General features: G+C 48.2%; 1 protein-coding gene across 5 annotated transcripts in view, besides 5 other annotated features; it reads right to left on the reverse strand.

Annotated features, from left to right (window-relative positions):
* Window positions 1-14,344, reverse strand: part of KCNN3 (potassium calcium-activated channel subfamily N member 3) — a 172,827-nt gene that overhangs the window by 31,806 nt on the left and 126,677 nt on the right. For 3 of the 5 annotated variants that reach the window (NM_002249.6, NM_170782.3, NM_001365838.1), the window contains exon 4: window positions 3,743-3,884. In NM_002249.6, the coding sequence (NP_002240.3) occupies window positions 3,743-3,884 (142 nt within the window). Of the gene's footprint in view, window positions 1-3,742; window positions 3,885-7,783; window positions 7,829-14,344 lie in introns of all 5 variants that reach the window. The other 2 variants (NM_001204087.2, NM_001365837.1) reach the window with 1 other exon arrangement.
* Window positions 1,210-2,019: an enhancer, noted in NCBI's record as "H3K27ac-H3K4me1 hESC enhancer chr1:154702946-154703755 (GRCh37/hg19 assembly coordinates)". NCBI's record gives its function as "activates a minimal SCP1, AML or CMV promoter by ChIP-STARR-seq in primed H9 embryonic stem cells {active_cell/tissue: H9 hESC(primed)}" and the evidence as "EXISTENCE:reporter gene assay evidence [ECO:0000049][PMID:30033119]".
* Window positions 2,020-2,828: an enhancer, noted in NCBI's record as "H3K27ac-H3K4me1 hESC enhancer chr1:154703756-154704564 (GRCh37/hg19 assembly coordinates)". NCBI's record gives its function as "activates a minimal SCP1, AML or CMV promoter by ChIP-STARR-seq in primed H9 embryonic stem cells {active_cell/tissue: H9 hESC(primed)}" and the evidence as "EXISTENCE:reporter gene assay evidence [ECO:0000049][PMID:30033119]".
* Window positions 6,269-6,828: an enhancer, noted in NCBI's record as "H3K4me1 hESC enhancer chr1:154708005-154708564 (GRCh37/hg19 assembly coordinates)". NCBI's record gives its function as "activates a minimal SCP1, AML or CMV promoter by ChIP-STARR-seq in primed H9 embryonic stem cells {active_cell/tissue: H9 hESC(primed)}" and the evidence as "EXISTENCE:reporter gene assay evidence [ECO:0000049][PMID:30033119]".
* Window positions 7,101-8,300: an enhancer, noted in NCBI's record as "CDK7 strongly-dependent group 2 enhancer chr1:154708837-154710036 (GRCh37/hg19 assembly coordinates)". NCBI's record gives its function as "activates an origin of replication core promoter dependent on BRD2, BRD4, P300/CBP, MED14 and CDK7 cofactors, with strong dependence on CDK7, by STARR-seq in HCT116 cells {active_cell/tissue: HCT116}" and the evidence as "EXISTENCE:reporter gene assay evidence [ECO:0000049][PMID:35650434]".
* Window positions 12,354-12,854: an enhancer, noted in NCBI's record as "H3K4me1 hESC enhancer chr1:154714090-154714590 (GRCh37/hg19 assembly coordinates)". NCBI's record gives its function as "activates a minimal SCP1, AML or CMV promoter by ChIP-STARR-seq in primed H9 embryonic stem cells {active_cell/tissue: H9 hESC(primed)}" and the evidence as "EXISTENCE:reporter gene assay evidence [ECO:0000049][PMID:30033119]".

Genomic DNA, 14,344 nt, shown 5'->3' on the forward strand with positions numbered 1-14,344 from the left:
CAAGTCCTGAACCACAGGGGACATCAACTGGAGTCCCTGGATGTGCTCTGTCCAACTTCCAGTTCCATGGGGCGAGGGGAGTGGATGGGGTCCACTTCTGATGAGCTGGAACTTCCCAAGGCACGTGGGCGAGAGGGAGCACCGAGTGCATGGAGAGAGGGTGGCTGGGACGGGGTGAACACGCCTAACTCTAGAGATTCGGACCCAAATCTGGACCGAGACTCCTCCACACCAGTCCTCCCACCTCTTGTTTTCAAGAAACATTTTCCAGCTGGAAAACCTTAGAAGCTGGAAAAACAAGTATCCCAAGGGGAAAAGTATGAGGTGTTCTTAACTAAAGAAGCATAAAATAAAATAAAACACAAATGAAAGTGACAAATGGAGGAGGGAAGCCTGGAGGATTTACAGTTGGATTCTGTTTCTGCAACAGATTCCATGCAACAACTAAAATAACATCAATTGGTTTGAAACCAAGGTGTTTCGGGAGAAGCTCATCTTCTAAAACTGACATTAAGCAGATGTCTTGCTGAGCCCTCTTTTTGCCTCCTCCCGAAATGACTCAATTTGTGCTACCTTTTACTTCATCATCACTTTCCCTTGGCAGTTCAGAGGCATCTCTCATGAGGCCATTGGGGAAAAGCTCAGCGTCCCTGCAGATATCCAGAAGCTTTTGCCTGTTTGTCCATAACTGATGAAGGGTCTACAGAGAGAGTCCAGCTTTAGAAAGAGGCTAGATTGAAACAAAGTTATGCCAAGCAGCCTTGGGGGCTTTGGGGTCTTCCAGATGCCTACAGAATCAGAAGGTCAGCATTGCACATCTTTTAGGTTGCACTGTCATTTCCAATTCTGGATACTAAATATTGACAGCTTTCTCTCTACTGTGTTGTCACCATGATCATGAAAAATCCTTATGGAAAGATGCTGGACTTTAATGTAGCTGCTTTTGTGGGTGAAATCTCTCAAACACACCAGGTCTGTGCCAGCCATGGCAAGTTGTTCAGACAATTATATACCCTGCTTAATGGTTGATAATTACATTGTTACTGGGATTGCCAAGAGAAAACAATGATTAAGACTATTTACAGGCCACACACACACAAATCCTTCCTTTCCCTTCCCAAGCAGGCCTTGCCTTGGCCTTCCTGGTGTCCATGGTAACCAAACAGGAAGCCCTACCTTTAGTAAAGGCACTTGCAATAATAATTGGGAGCTATACATAGTGTTGGGAGGTTGGGAGGAGGAGGGGAAAGGATCCTCAGCAAAGTGAAACCCTGGCTAGGAGTGACTCAGCTAGAAAAATCACATTTGTTAGAAAAATGCCACCAGGGTTCCTCACTGTGGCTGACCCCAGAGTGAGGCGACTGACTTTAATTTGGGTGAAAAACACTGACAATAAATAGAGGAAACCTCCCTGTTCCTGTATATAGAAAGGTGTATATTTATGCACAGGGTTTTGTACAAAAAGAGATGAAAGGCCTGGGCTGTATTTTTCATATGGAAGGTGGGAATTGGCTCCTCATCGTCCGTTTCTTCTTTCCACTTTGATCACACCTCAATCCACAGGGAACAGAACGCTCTCTCTGGGGGAGCACTGCACACCCAGACAGCAAAAGGGGGTGCTGAAAGACAAACAGCCTCCGGACCCCAAAGAGAGGCAGGGGTGGGGCCAGGGTCTCGCCTGTTCCGCTCAGCTGTGCCAGAGTAGAGCCAGGAGATGCGGAGTCCAGGAACCAGGAAGCCAGGTCTTTGGGGTGCTGCTTCTTGGATGGGGACAGCTATGTGCTGAGAGGGGAAAAGGTCGGTATTTTAAAATAACAGAGGCTCCCGGCAGGGCCCATCCACCTACTGGCAACCCTGCTCTGTGCCAGCCCTGGCTGAGAGCTGGTTCTGAGGCACAAAGCCCCAGGAGTGACTCTAAGAAGGAAAGATTTGGCCTTCAGTGGCATTTCATTCCTTTCTGGTAAGAAGCGTCTTTCCCCGGTTTCCTCGTGACAGTTGGTGCTATGCCAAGACAGACTCCTACTAACCGATGGGAGGTATTTGTTCTAAAGCCTTGCACTTACCCGTGATTTATCACAACCCCAGCGCTAAGCTTTTTGTCATTAGCTGCTGTCGTAGGACCTGCCTGCTAATAGGGACCTGCCCTGGACTGGAGTCAGAAAGGAGGAGAGAGCCTGGCCCCTCCTGCTCAGCAGGCTGACTGCCCCAAGCCTGGGTCTGACCGTCTGGTCCACCAATATCAGCCCCAGGAAGCCAACAAGACGGAGTGGGGTGGGGAGTGGGGGCAGCCCCCAGCCGCTGTGAGGCGTTCACTCAGACCCTGCAGGAAGACCTGCGGCCCTCCCTTTGCACTGCAGAAAGGGGTCACTGCCCTTCCAGAAAGAGGGTCTTCATCTCTTCTGGAGGCAACGGGGGTGACAAATGGAATCTGAGGGATCACTGCAAGGAAGGATTTTCACAAAGGTGTGAGGGGGGCTGTGGACGGGGGGCTGTCCTTGGGAGGGTTGCGGTCTCCAGCCATGGAGACCCAGAGCCACACCACAAGCAGCCTGACCACTTCTCACCCCGCCACCTCCCCCAACACTACCCAGGCTTAGATGTGCTTTCCTCTTTCAGCCTCAGTTTCCTCCTCTGAAAAAAGTGTCCAACCCTGGTCTGACACTGTTCTAGGATTCCAGGACGAAGGCCAAAGAGCAGCAGCTGCCTGTCCTGGACCCAAAGTGCAATGAGGCCCAGGGAACACTTCACCAATTTGCAACTGAAGGACACTGAGGACACCACCAACACTGACCTGTGTGTGGCCGCTTCTCGTTTTCAAAGCACTTTAACATAAATCATTGCATTTGGTCCTTGCACAAACCAATGGGGAGGGCAGGGCAGGCCCTCCATCTCCACTTTCCCCTGGAGGATGCTCAGGTCCAATATGCAGAGTGCCTGGCCCAGGGTCCACAGTGAGCAGAAACTCAGACCCCACATCCCTCTCATAAGCCACACTGTGATGGCCATGTGACAGGTGAGAGTGTGTGCCTCCGCGAGAGTGTCGAGTGTGGGTGGTAGGGCACTGGGCAGGAGAGATACACCTTGAAAGGGCACGGCACACCTGCTGGGCACCTGGAGATGGGATCACAGCCTTGCCAAATGCCAGTGCTGCAAAGCACTTGGCACTCAGAGCCCAGCCCCTCCATAGGCAGAGGTGGAAGCAGAAGCCTGGGAAAGGCAAGAGCCAGCCCAGGGCCATGTGGACAGCCCCGTCCAGGACTCAGGTCCCAAAGGCCGACTCAGTGCTCTTTCCCCAGTCCCTGCTTCTGTGAGTTCCAGCTAAACATGATCAGAAATGGTGCCAAGGTCAGTGGGACCAAGGCAACAGGAAGGAGGACAATAAACTGCAAGCTCCAGTGCTCACTGGAGGTGAGCAAACTGGGTGGCTGCACAGCAGTGGGGTGGGCATCAGAGCATTGGGCCAGGACCAGCTTCACCCAGCCCATTTTGAGGGAGCTGTGAATAGACCATTAACTGCCAGGAGTCCAGGTCTCATTCTTACCTTAGAAAAGTTAACTGAAAAGTGAGAAACCATTGCAGATTTCCCACCTGACATTTTATGTGTAGGGGACACACATGCAGGTCGGTTAACTAACAGCCACCCCCCGCTCTGCGGCTAGGAAGGCCCCTATGTGCTTGCAAGAAAGAGTTCAGCTCTTTGCCACATTTTAAGGGTAGGGAATGGGGAGAGGCGGGTACTCACCATGATGCCAGTGAGGAGACAGACACCTTTCCCACAGTATGTGTGGGGCACCATGTCCCCATAACCAATGGAAAGGAATGTGATGGAGATGAGCCACATGGCACCCAGAAAGTTACTAGTTACGTCCTGCTGGTCATGGTACCTGCCAATGGGAAGACAGGAGTTAGTCGATGAACAGCCATTCCTGGGAGTAAGGGCTGTGGGCAAACCTAGAGCGGGGAAGGAAATGAGATATTTTGCTGAGGAAGAGGCAGCAGTGACGGTGGCTCACACAGATCTCTTTAGGCTACTGAAGGGGCTGCAACTGTGCCCACCCAGGTCCCACCTGCAGCCCCCCGTCCCGTTGGCCTCCCGCCATGAGCTTGGTCCCAGAGATAAAATGTTTTGTCATGATTTGCACCTCATTGTAGACATCCTTTTAGTGTTGGTAAGATAGCTTTGGATGAAATCATGCAGTAATAAAATTCAAATTTTCCCTTCCAAGCCGACAGTCTAAATGTATGTGGATGTGATTAATCTGAAATCACAAGCTCCTGAACAGGGAAAATGTCAAAAAAAAATTACCAAACATATTCAGCGATTTCCTCTAAGAAAGTTGAAGCATCTCAAAGACTGGCATCTCCCGGGGGTCTGGAGGGAAGCTGTGGTGGTTGGGGCTCTCGTGGAGCTGTCTCTAGAGGGGGCTCTGGGGTGTCCACAGAGGCCTCCCTTTCTGAGTCAGACAGGGGCTTGTAGCTGCCCCGCCCTGGGAGGAACCAACTGGAAACATCAGCACCATTTCCTCTGCCCGGATGCCTATTCCACCCCATCCCCTTCCTCCCTCCCTTCATCCCCAACACCAAGACCTGCTGCATGCCAGGCTCTGTGCCAAGTACTGAAATACAGAGATGAATACCACACAGCCCCTGCCCTCAGGGACCCAGCCCAAGAGAGGGGTTTGCCAAGGAGGCAGACATCTGCAGAGGGGTGCAATCAGGGGGTGGACAAGGTGCCCTGGGGATGGAGGCAGAGGGCAATGACCTTGACCCAAACACATGAGGGTCCACAGAGGTGCCACAGAGGAGCAAGGCTTGCATTTTCCAGGCAGGCCCAGAGGAACGGGTGCTCTGGGCAGAGAACCCTAATGAAAGCCCAGGGCTTATACAAAGTGCAGCAAGGGAGCTGGTTGCAGGCTGGGTGGCAGGGCTGGTGAAGGTGAGTCCTCTTCCAAACCGTTCTCTAATGGGATCAGCCTGAACAACACACAATAGACTCTGTATTTTATACTGTAGGGCTTCACCTCTTGATAAAATCTCCTCTTAACCACTTGGAGGCCACTGGATGGGGAAAGCTAAGAACAAAGGGCCAGGGAGACCAAACCTACTAGGCTGGATAGAGCAGAAAAGCCATTTAGGAACCTTAATCTATGGAAGTCAGTTACCATTGGGGCTTCCGTGAGTTAATGCACACAACGTGCCGGGACAGGCCTAGTACAAGGAAGCCCCCTGGAAGGATTCGCTGCCGTCATCAGGAATCTCCATGCCCCCACAGGGTCTGTGCCCAGCGAGTGATAGGCAAATGCTGCTTTTCCTTCCCTTGGCGCCTTAAGTGAGGCGTGCAGGGCAGGCTGCATGTGTAGATGCATCTAGAGATGGGCCTGGAAGGAGACAGGAGCTCAGCCAGTCAGAAAGGGACAGGGCCATCAAGTCAGGGAGCAGCAAGAGCATGGTATGACGGATACTGTGCATGTATTGAGCACCTACTGTGTGGCTGGCACTTTGTACGCAAACATTCTCATCTCACAACAGTCTTTAAAGTATTTCCCAGGTAAGCAGCAGGAGGCACGGAGACACTGGGTGACTTGCCTAAGGACACACAGGAAGCAAAGCCCATGCTCCTTTCACTGTTTCACTCAACATCAGAGAGGCAAAAGCGACTGGCGTGTGTCTTGGGAATAATGAGGAAGCTTCAGTGAGAGGAGAGCACCTGGGCTCCAGTAGCAGGTGACCAGGGGGCTTCAGAGACCAGGGGTCAGATTTAGGAAGGCCTGGAATTCTGGGAGAAGAAGCTTGGATCTTGTCTTAGAGGCCTTAGAAGAGATTCTGGGTTCTTGAGCACAGGAATGACAAGATAACACAGCTTGCTGGGAAGAATGGTCGGCGGGTGGCGAGCAGGGTATCTGAAGAGACAGGACACAGAGGTGGGGTGACCAGGCAAGAAACAGGTGTGCAAAGCTGGGACAGAGACGCAGGCCACAGCCTTTCTCACCCACCGGAGCCCGGCCCTAGCAGATTCCCGCGAGCACATCAATGGTGGGCTCTCCAGCCCCACTTGAGTCCTTGGCCAGCAACTGGAGACCCAGTGGGTGGCACAGCATTAGCCTTTTTGTGGCTGTCTGCACAAGGACATGGGTGTCTGGTACTTCTGGGGACATCTGAAGAAAAGATACCCCCTCCCCAAAGCTCTGCTAATGAGATGGCCTTGCCTGCCCACTCCATCTGCTATACTTGCTCCCCAGGGATGCTCTGTTACCACCCTAGGGGCCCCTGGCTGGCTGCGTGGGCCTCATTTCCCTGGGCTGGGCCTGCCTTTGCTCCCCTGGCTATCCTTGAGTAGCACAGGCTGGTGGCTCCCAACTCTGATTCCCAGGATTGCGTCTACCCCTGACCGTGACCCAGCGCATCAGCCCCCTCCCAGTTCTGCTGTGGCCTTGGAAAGGCAGCTGTCTCCCTGGCCTGCTCACTCTGCCCTGCTAGGCCCTCAGGTCAATGCAACCCCTCCCTTCCCAGCAGGTTGCTTTCTGGCTGGAGGGATGGTGGCAGACCCTATCCTCAGGCCCTGTGCTGAGGCAGTGGTGGAAAATCAGACTTTAGCTTCTCTAAAGCAGCAAGACTCAGTGACTGTGGGAGGGGACACAGAAGGGAGAAGACGTAAAGGCAGCTCCACGCCACAAGCCTGCAACACATAAATGTAATACAGTCACAGCCAGGGTCCTCAGTTCTTCCGAAAAACATTTCCTGGAAGATAAGTCTTGGGTAAGGTCTGAAGAAATGTGGTTGAGGCAGTTTAGCAGTGAGGAGTTGAGCTGAGCCAGTGATCTTGGGCTGGGCTGGGCTTGCCTGGCTTGGAGCTCCAGCTCCAGAGTTAAGTAGCTCCATGGCTGTGGGCAAGTGACGTGCCCTCTCTGTCAATCAATTTCCTTATCCAATGATGGGAGGATTAAGTAAAATAACCCACAAGCAATACCAGCACAGTGACCCAAATTAAGTGCTCACTAAATGTCAGCCATTATTGTTGCTGAGAGGGCGCAGGTGTTATCAGTCTGAGAAACAATAGACAGAAAAATACAGGGGCATGGATTTACACGTGCAGTGGAGTGGTGAGGCATTCATGAAGATGTCTTGAAGTTTAGGCTGGAGAACTATTTGATACAGACACAAAAGAAATCAACTGTAAGTTCTTGGACAAAGAAAAGACATGAGATACTTAGTATCTGAAAATGATTCTTCTACATGAAAGACTGACTAAAGGGGTCAGGCCCCAGATAAGCAGTGCTGCTAGAAGCTTTGCAGGTGTCCAGGGAGAAGCAATGGAGAGCCTTGAATACCGAACCATGAAGTTAGGATTAATTTGTAGCCTGCCCTCTGTGCACATCATGGATTTTCTTGTGCACGTGGGTCTCCACAGTCCTCCTTTCCCTGCAAACCCTGAGGATTAAACTCGTGCTCCCTGGCTGTTTGGCTGCCCTTAGGATCATGGACCATCCTATTCATATGTGGGAGGATGCCAAGGTAAAGAGATTAGAGATCAAAGTGGAATTACATATAAATTATGTTCTTGTGGGTTTCTTTTTTCATTCACCATAATAAACTCCTGTGCGTGCTAACTGTGTGTGCTGAGGAGAGGAGTGAAGATCTTGAGAGTGTCCTTCGTTGTTTGTCAGCCTTCAGTGATCGCTTCTCTGGTGGGGGCTACGGAAGATGCTGAGATGAATTGGACATGCACCCTGCTCTCCAGTGGCTTGGAGCTTCGTCATGGAGATAAGACATACATGCAACTCACCAAGCAGGAAGTGATGAGCCAGAAGGCTGGGCTGGTGATTCAGGACTGTGGGAGTAGAGAGGAGGGAGAAAAGGTTTCTAAACCTATTCACAATTTTAGAGCGGTTTACACATGTCACAAACTCACATACTAATCTTGTGCTATTTTTTGCAATAGAAAATTTGGGGGGGGGGGATAGCTCCATGTTTTTCTTTAAAGGCTGAGGAGGAAAAGATGTAATTTTTCTTTGAGCTCAAGGGTAGTTATTACAGTTACTGATTTATCTTTCAGGGTGTGGACTATGGATTTTTTTTCACTTCTTAACATGAAATAAATGAGAGATACAAAAGACTGTATGACTTGGCAAAGATGGTAGAGACATATGTCTACTTTTGCTCACTCAAATCCCTTACAGCTCAAAGTTGTTAGTCTCCTACTTTTAAAAATAAGCAGGCAACCAGGAATCCCCAGACAGTCAGGAGTCTCTAACATGAAAGACACAGATCAAACCAGTCAACTAAACAAACAAAAAGAAGGAACTCTGGATCAAATACAGACCATTCACAGAGAGAACTCTTGAAGGAAAAATCCTATAATTAACGTAAGAGAGAGAAAATAAGATACTGGACCCACGAGACAAGAATGGAATGCTGTATGAAAAAAGTCTTCCTAGAGGGGCTGGAAGATGATAAATCGAGGAATTCTCCCAAAAAGCAGAAAAAGACAAAGAATGAAAATGAAAGAAAATATGAAGTTAGGCATTGTGGTGTGTGCCTGTATCCCCCAGCTGCTCGGAGGCTGAGGCAGGAGGATTGCTCGTGCCCAGGAGGTTGAGGCTGCAGTGAGCTATGATTGTGCCCCTGCACTTCAGCCTGGGGACAGAGCAAGACCCCCATCATCTCTTAAAAGGAGAGAGAGGGAAAGAAAATATGAGAAAATTAGTGAATCAGTCTCCCAATTCAAACAGTAGAAGTTACAGAAAGAAACAACTGGGGGGAAAAGAAGGAGAAAGAAGGAGAGAAGTAATTATTTTAAAAATCATTCAAAAACAAAAATCCCCAGAACTTAAGGGCATGAGTTTCTAGATCAAAGGCTCACTGTCCCCAGCACAGTGGATGAAAATAGATGCACACCAAGGCACATTATTGTGAAATTTCAGAACACCAGGGGAAAGGAGACAATCCTACAGAGCTTTAGGGGTTTTGGGGGAGGGTATAAAAGAGGCCAAATACAAAGAACCAGAAATTACAACAGCTTCGGACTTTTTGACAGCAACACTGGAAGCTAGAAGGCCATGGAATAAAGCCTTCAAAATTCTGGAGGAAAATTATTTCCAAATCAGAATTCCAAACCAGAGACCAGAAATCTGAATTGGCCAAAGTATTAGTTCAGTCTGAGGGTGGAACGAAGACATTTTCAGATACGTAAGGTTGTCACGGGTTTGCCTCCCATGCACCCTCTCTCAGGAAGACACAGGAGGTATGCTTCACCAAAACAAAGAAGTAAACCAAGGAGGAAGACAAGGAATAAAGGTAACGAGCTCAGGGTGATGCTACAGGGAGGCCCTCATAGGACAGGTGCTCACCAGGTGCGGAGGACAACCCGTCCGGGCTGGAGCAGGTCAAGAGGCTCTGGGAGACACTTCCAAGGAGATGAAATTGATAGGAAACTTAATGTGCCTGAACATCCTGAAAAGAGGTTTAGACAACTGCCAGAGTTTGCACTTGCATTAATGACGAATACATAGAAAACTAAGCAAACAAACAAACACGATCATTAACAACTCCAGGAAAAATGAAAAGTTCTGCAGGAAGGGAAAAGTTATCATATTTTTTACTACAAGGCTCAACTATGAATAGAGTCAAATTAGTGTTGACTGAGTAATGTAAACACTGATTACTGCTTTAACCAAAATTATGATGTAATTATAAAAGGAAGATGAAGGGAGAGGAAGAGTTGGAGGAGAGGAAAGGGAGCTAAATTTTCATCTCCCAGAGTGGGAAGGGAATAGATAATACCTAAATAAACCAAAGCATCAAAAGGTAGCAATACACACATATTACTTACAGACATGGAGGTAAATACTAAAATTAATTAGCAAAAGAAGGTAAAAGTAGCTGCCTCTGGAGAACAGTAAATGGGAAGAGCTGGTGGAAGACAGCAAATACCACGGAAGGATTGACTCTACAGTGTATGCACATGTAACTTTGATCATATCAACAGAACACCAAACCAAAGAGAAAAAACAAAACTACATGCAACATTAAATGACATCAAGAAACACAGAAAGAAAATAAGCACCATGAACTCACCATCCAGCTCCAACCTGTGGGATCTACTTGTATGTTCTCTCCATTCTTAGTGCCCCCCACCCCAGGATCATCATTACCCTGAATGTCATGTTTATCATTTCCTCGTTTTTCTTCATAGTGCTTCCATGTAGGCAGGATTACCTAAGCAATATGTAATTTCATTTTTCCTATTTCCGACCTTCATAAGGATGAAATCATACCACAAGAGTATGGTAGGAAGCTTCTAAAATGACCTCGATATCCCCCCTCCTCTTGAGGTCTTCACACACTTTTGCAATCCTTTCCTTTTGAGTGTGGGCTGGACCAAGTAACTGGTTTCTAACACATAGAGTATGGCAGAAGTGATAGACTTTCATTTCTGAAGTTAGGTTATGGTAAGATCATGGCTTCTGTCTTGGGTGATCTCTCACTAGTTATCTTTTGGATCACTCTCCCTGGGAGAATCCACAGGCCATGTCGGGAGGCAAGCCCGTGGAGTGCCACATGGCAAGGGACACAGCCTGCCAACCACCACATGAGTAGCTTAGAAGCAGGTGTTCTTTAAGTCAAGCCTTGAGGTGAGACCACAGCCCTGGCTGACAGCCTGACAATCTCATGAGAGAACTTGAGGCAGAGGTACCCATTTAAGCTGCACCTGAATTCCTGACCCACAGCAACCCTGAGATGGTAAATGTCTGCTGTTTTTAGCTGCTAAATTTTGGAGCAAGTTGTTATGTAGCAACAGATAACTAATACAGTGAACTCTTCTATGAATTGCTTCTTTTCTGTTCAACATATATATTATATTGACATATGTAGCTATAGTCTATTTTTATTCCTGTATTGTATTTCATCATATGAATATGGCATGATTTATTTATTCATTCACCTGTTGATGGACAGTGGGATAGCTTACGGGTTTTTCCTCTAATGAGAAATACTGCTACAAACATTATTTTTTATTGACTTATTGTTATTGTATTTTTAGAGACAGGGTCTTACTCTGTTGCCCAGGCTGGACTGCAGTGGCACAATCATAGCTTACTGTAGCCTCAAACTCCTGGGCTCAAGAGATTCTCCTGCCTTGACCTCCTGAAATGTTGGGATTACAGGCATGAGCCACCTCACCCAGCCCAAACATTCTTAATCATAGCTCCTGGTACACTGCATAAGAGTTTCTCTAGGACACATACCTAAGACTGGGTTTGCTGGTTTGTAGGATATGTACATATTTCACTTCATTAGGAAATGTCAAGTTGTTTTCTAAGATGCCAGTGCCAATTAGGCTTCCACCAGAGGTGGATAAGAGTTCCTGTTTCTCCATATCCTCATTAACACTTGCCATTGTCTGACTTTAATCTCTGCCACACTAGTGGGTGAATTGGGATCTCATCAAGACTTGACTTTACGTTTCCATGATAAAAGCTTAAGTAGCCTTTCATATGTTTCTTTGTCATTCATACTTTCTCTTCTGTGGCGTGTCATTCATGACTTTTGTCCACTTTTCTATTGGCTTGTTTTTGTTTTTTCTCATTGATTCTAAAAGTTATTTATATATTCTAGATAATAAGAATTTTGTCAGTTTGTGTGTTGCAAATATCTTCTTCCAGTGTGTGCCTTGCCTTTTTCTCTACAGTATTTTTGATGAATAGAAGTTTTAAATTTTACTGTAGGTGACTTTATCATCCTTTAATTTATAATTAGCAGTTATTTGGTTTTTGCAGAAATCATTCCCTCCCTGAGATTGTAACATTTTTACATATTTTAAAATGTTGCCTTTCTAAGTCTTCAATTTGCCTGGAATTGATTTTGCATATGGTGTGAGGCAGGGATACAACTTCATTTTTTTCACATGGGTAAGCAATTATCTCAGTTTCACTTAATGTGCAGACCATCCTTTCTCCTACTAGCTTTCAATGCTCCCTCTGTCTCATAAATTATATGTGGAAGTGGTACTATTTCTTGGTTCTCTATTCTGTTCCATTGGTCTATTTGTCTAACCCTGAAGTTATATTACAGTATTCTCTGTAGCCTTTCCTTGGTACCTTCTGAGGGTCTAGCACATAATAGGGGCTCACTAAAATACTTGTGGACTGACTAAGGCCTGCATGCTGCTTTTCCTGTCCCTCTACAAAAGTGAGGCTTGCTTCAGTAATTCAGTGAATCATGTTAAAATGATTTCAGCTGTTCTCTTCAGCAGATTAAACCTTTGTCAAGGTGGCTGCCAAATTCCTTGAGCTTGGAGTCAGTTCTCACTATTAATAAGAACTCAGCTTCATGACACTAGCTGTGATCTGTTACAGCACTAGGGTGACAGAAAATAAGCCAAAGTGAAATGACTGCCTCTTCTTCCTTATTCTCCAAAAGAATTTGAATACTTTTTAAAACTAGTTTTGTAAAAAAAAAAAAAAAAGGATTCTTTTCACATGGATCTACATGATATGACGGCTCTAGCCATTTGTCCTGGGTCTGATTTGTTTGTTGGAAATTTGCAGGCATTGAGCCAGATCCTCTGCAGAACTCCAAAGCAGCCAAATGGACTGCTTCGTCCTTGCCTTCCGGTCAATCTTCAGAGTCACACAGTCAGACCTGCCCACTGAGCTGTGAACCCTGTGCTTGCGAATTTCTCCAATGAGGAAGCCAACAACACGTACCTGGCTTGGCCCCCTGGCGGCCTCTGACCCCACCGGTGCCTCTCTCCTCGGAACACTGCCCTCCTCTGGCATCTGCAGCGGCTCACTGGCCTGCTTTCCTCCCGCCTTCGACTGTGCCTCCTTGGCTTCATGCTCTGACCACCGCTTCAGGGTTGCTGTGCTCCAAGCTTGCCTTGCACACATGGCTCTCTTGCTCCTGTCACTCCTGCCCTGTCCTCCCTGATGCCTTCTAACTGGCCCTTCAGGACCCACTTCAAATCCCATCCTGACCCACCCAGCCAACCCCAGCTCTTTGCCTGTGTCTCCCACACGTGGCATCAGCACCATCCACCTACTGCCCACACACTGGCTTGCAGAAAGGCCGCAAAGCTGGCTGGGGTATAGCTGAACCTACAGGTTCCAGGGCCAGAACACCTATGTTTGAATCCGGGCTTTGCACCTTAATGTCTGCATGAACTTATCCTCAGTCTTCCCACCTGTAAAAGAGGATAATACTTGTACCACCTCACAGAGAGTTACTGTGAGGGTTAAAGGAGCTGATATGTCTAAAATGATTAGAGCAGTGCCGGGCACATAGGTGCACTAAAAAAAAGTGCTATTTTCATCTCGTGTGTCTATGGTTAGCCTTGGCATAGCAGAAAGAACACAAGATCTGGAGCCCAGAGACTGCCTTTCATGCCAAATGGCTCTGTGACCTTGAGCAGATCACTCCACGGACTCAGGGCCTGCTGCTTCTTCGGGGAAGCAGGGTGTAATGATGCCGTCCTGCCTGCCTCGCGAGGCCGCGGTGAGGAGTGAATGTGCACGGGCTCCATCAGCCTTCAGCAAGTGATACAGATAGAGGTATGTCACAGCCTCTGCAGGAGCCTCTCACCTGGGGCTTCGTCCTAGTGACAAGGGCAGCTGCACGGATGTGGAGAAAGAACAGGCAGCAGATGCTGCTGTGTAGGAAAACAGAAACTCCTCCCAGCTTCTCCTTTTAATCTTCGCTGTTCTTCTGGGTGGCTGCAGCCCCTTCTCTTCATTTGGTGACTTGCAGCTTAAACCCCTTATCTCCATCAAATTCTGTCACCTCTGCTTTCAAAATATCTCCAGAATCGGAGCGCCTGTCATCCCTGGTCTGTGGCCACCCTGGACCAGCCCCACCCTCTCACCTTGTCCAGCCCCACCCTCTCACCTGGACCAGCCCCATCCTCTCACCTGGACCAGCCCCACTCTCTTACCTGCTCCAGTCCCATCCTCTTACCTGCTCCAGCCCCACCCTCTCACCTGGATCAGCACCGCCCTCTCACCTGGACCACTGCAGTAGTTGCCTCACTGGCCTCCCTGCTTCTGCCTGGGCGACGCTTGCCTCAGGCTAGTCCTGTTACAGTAGTCAGAGAGGCCCTCTAAAAAAAGTAAGACAAAAGTTCCTGTATCCCTCAGAAAAAAAGCCGAAGTCCCCTGGGGCCCCCAACCTGGGGGCCTCTCTGAGCCCATCTCACCTTCGCCCATTGGCCCTGCCACCTGGGGTTTCTGCAGCTCCTTCACCCAGCCAGCTTTACTCCTGCCTCAGAGCCCCTCACCTGCTGTTCTTTTCAGAGATGGCCCTGACTTACAATGGTGCCACTTTACAATGGTGCAAAAGCAATACACAG

This window comes from Homo sapiens, chromosome 1 (assembly GCF_000001405.40).
Source record: "Homo sapiens chromosome 1, GRCh38.p14 Primary Assembly".
Taxonomy (NCBI): Eukaryota; Metazoa; Chordata; class Mammalia; order Primates; family Hominidae; genus Homo; species Homo sapiens.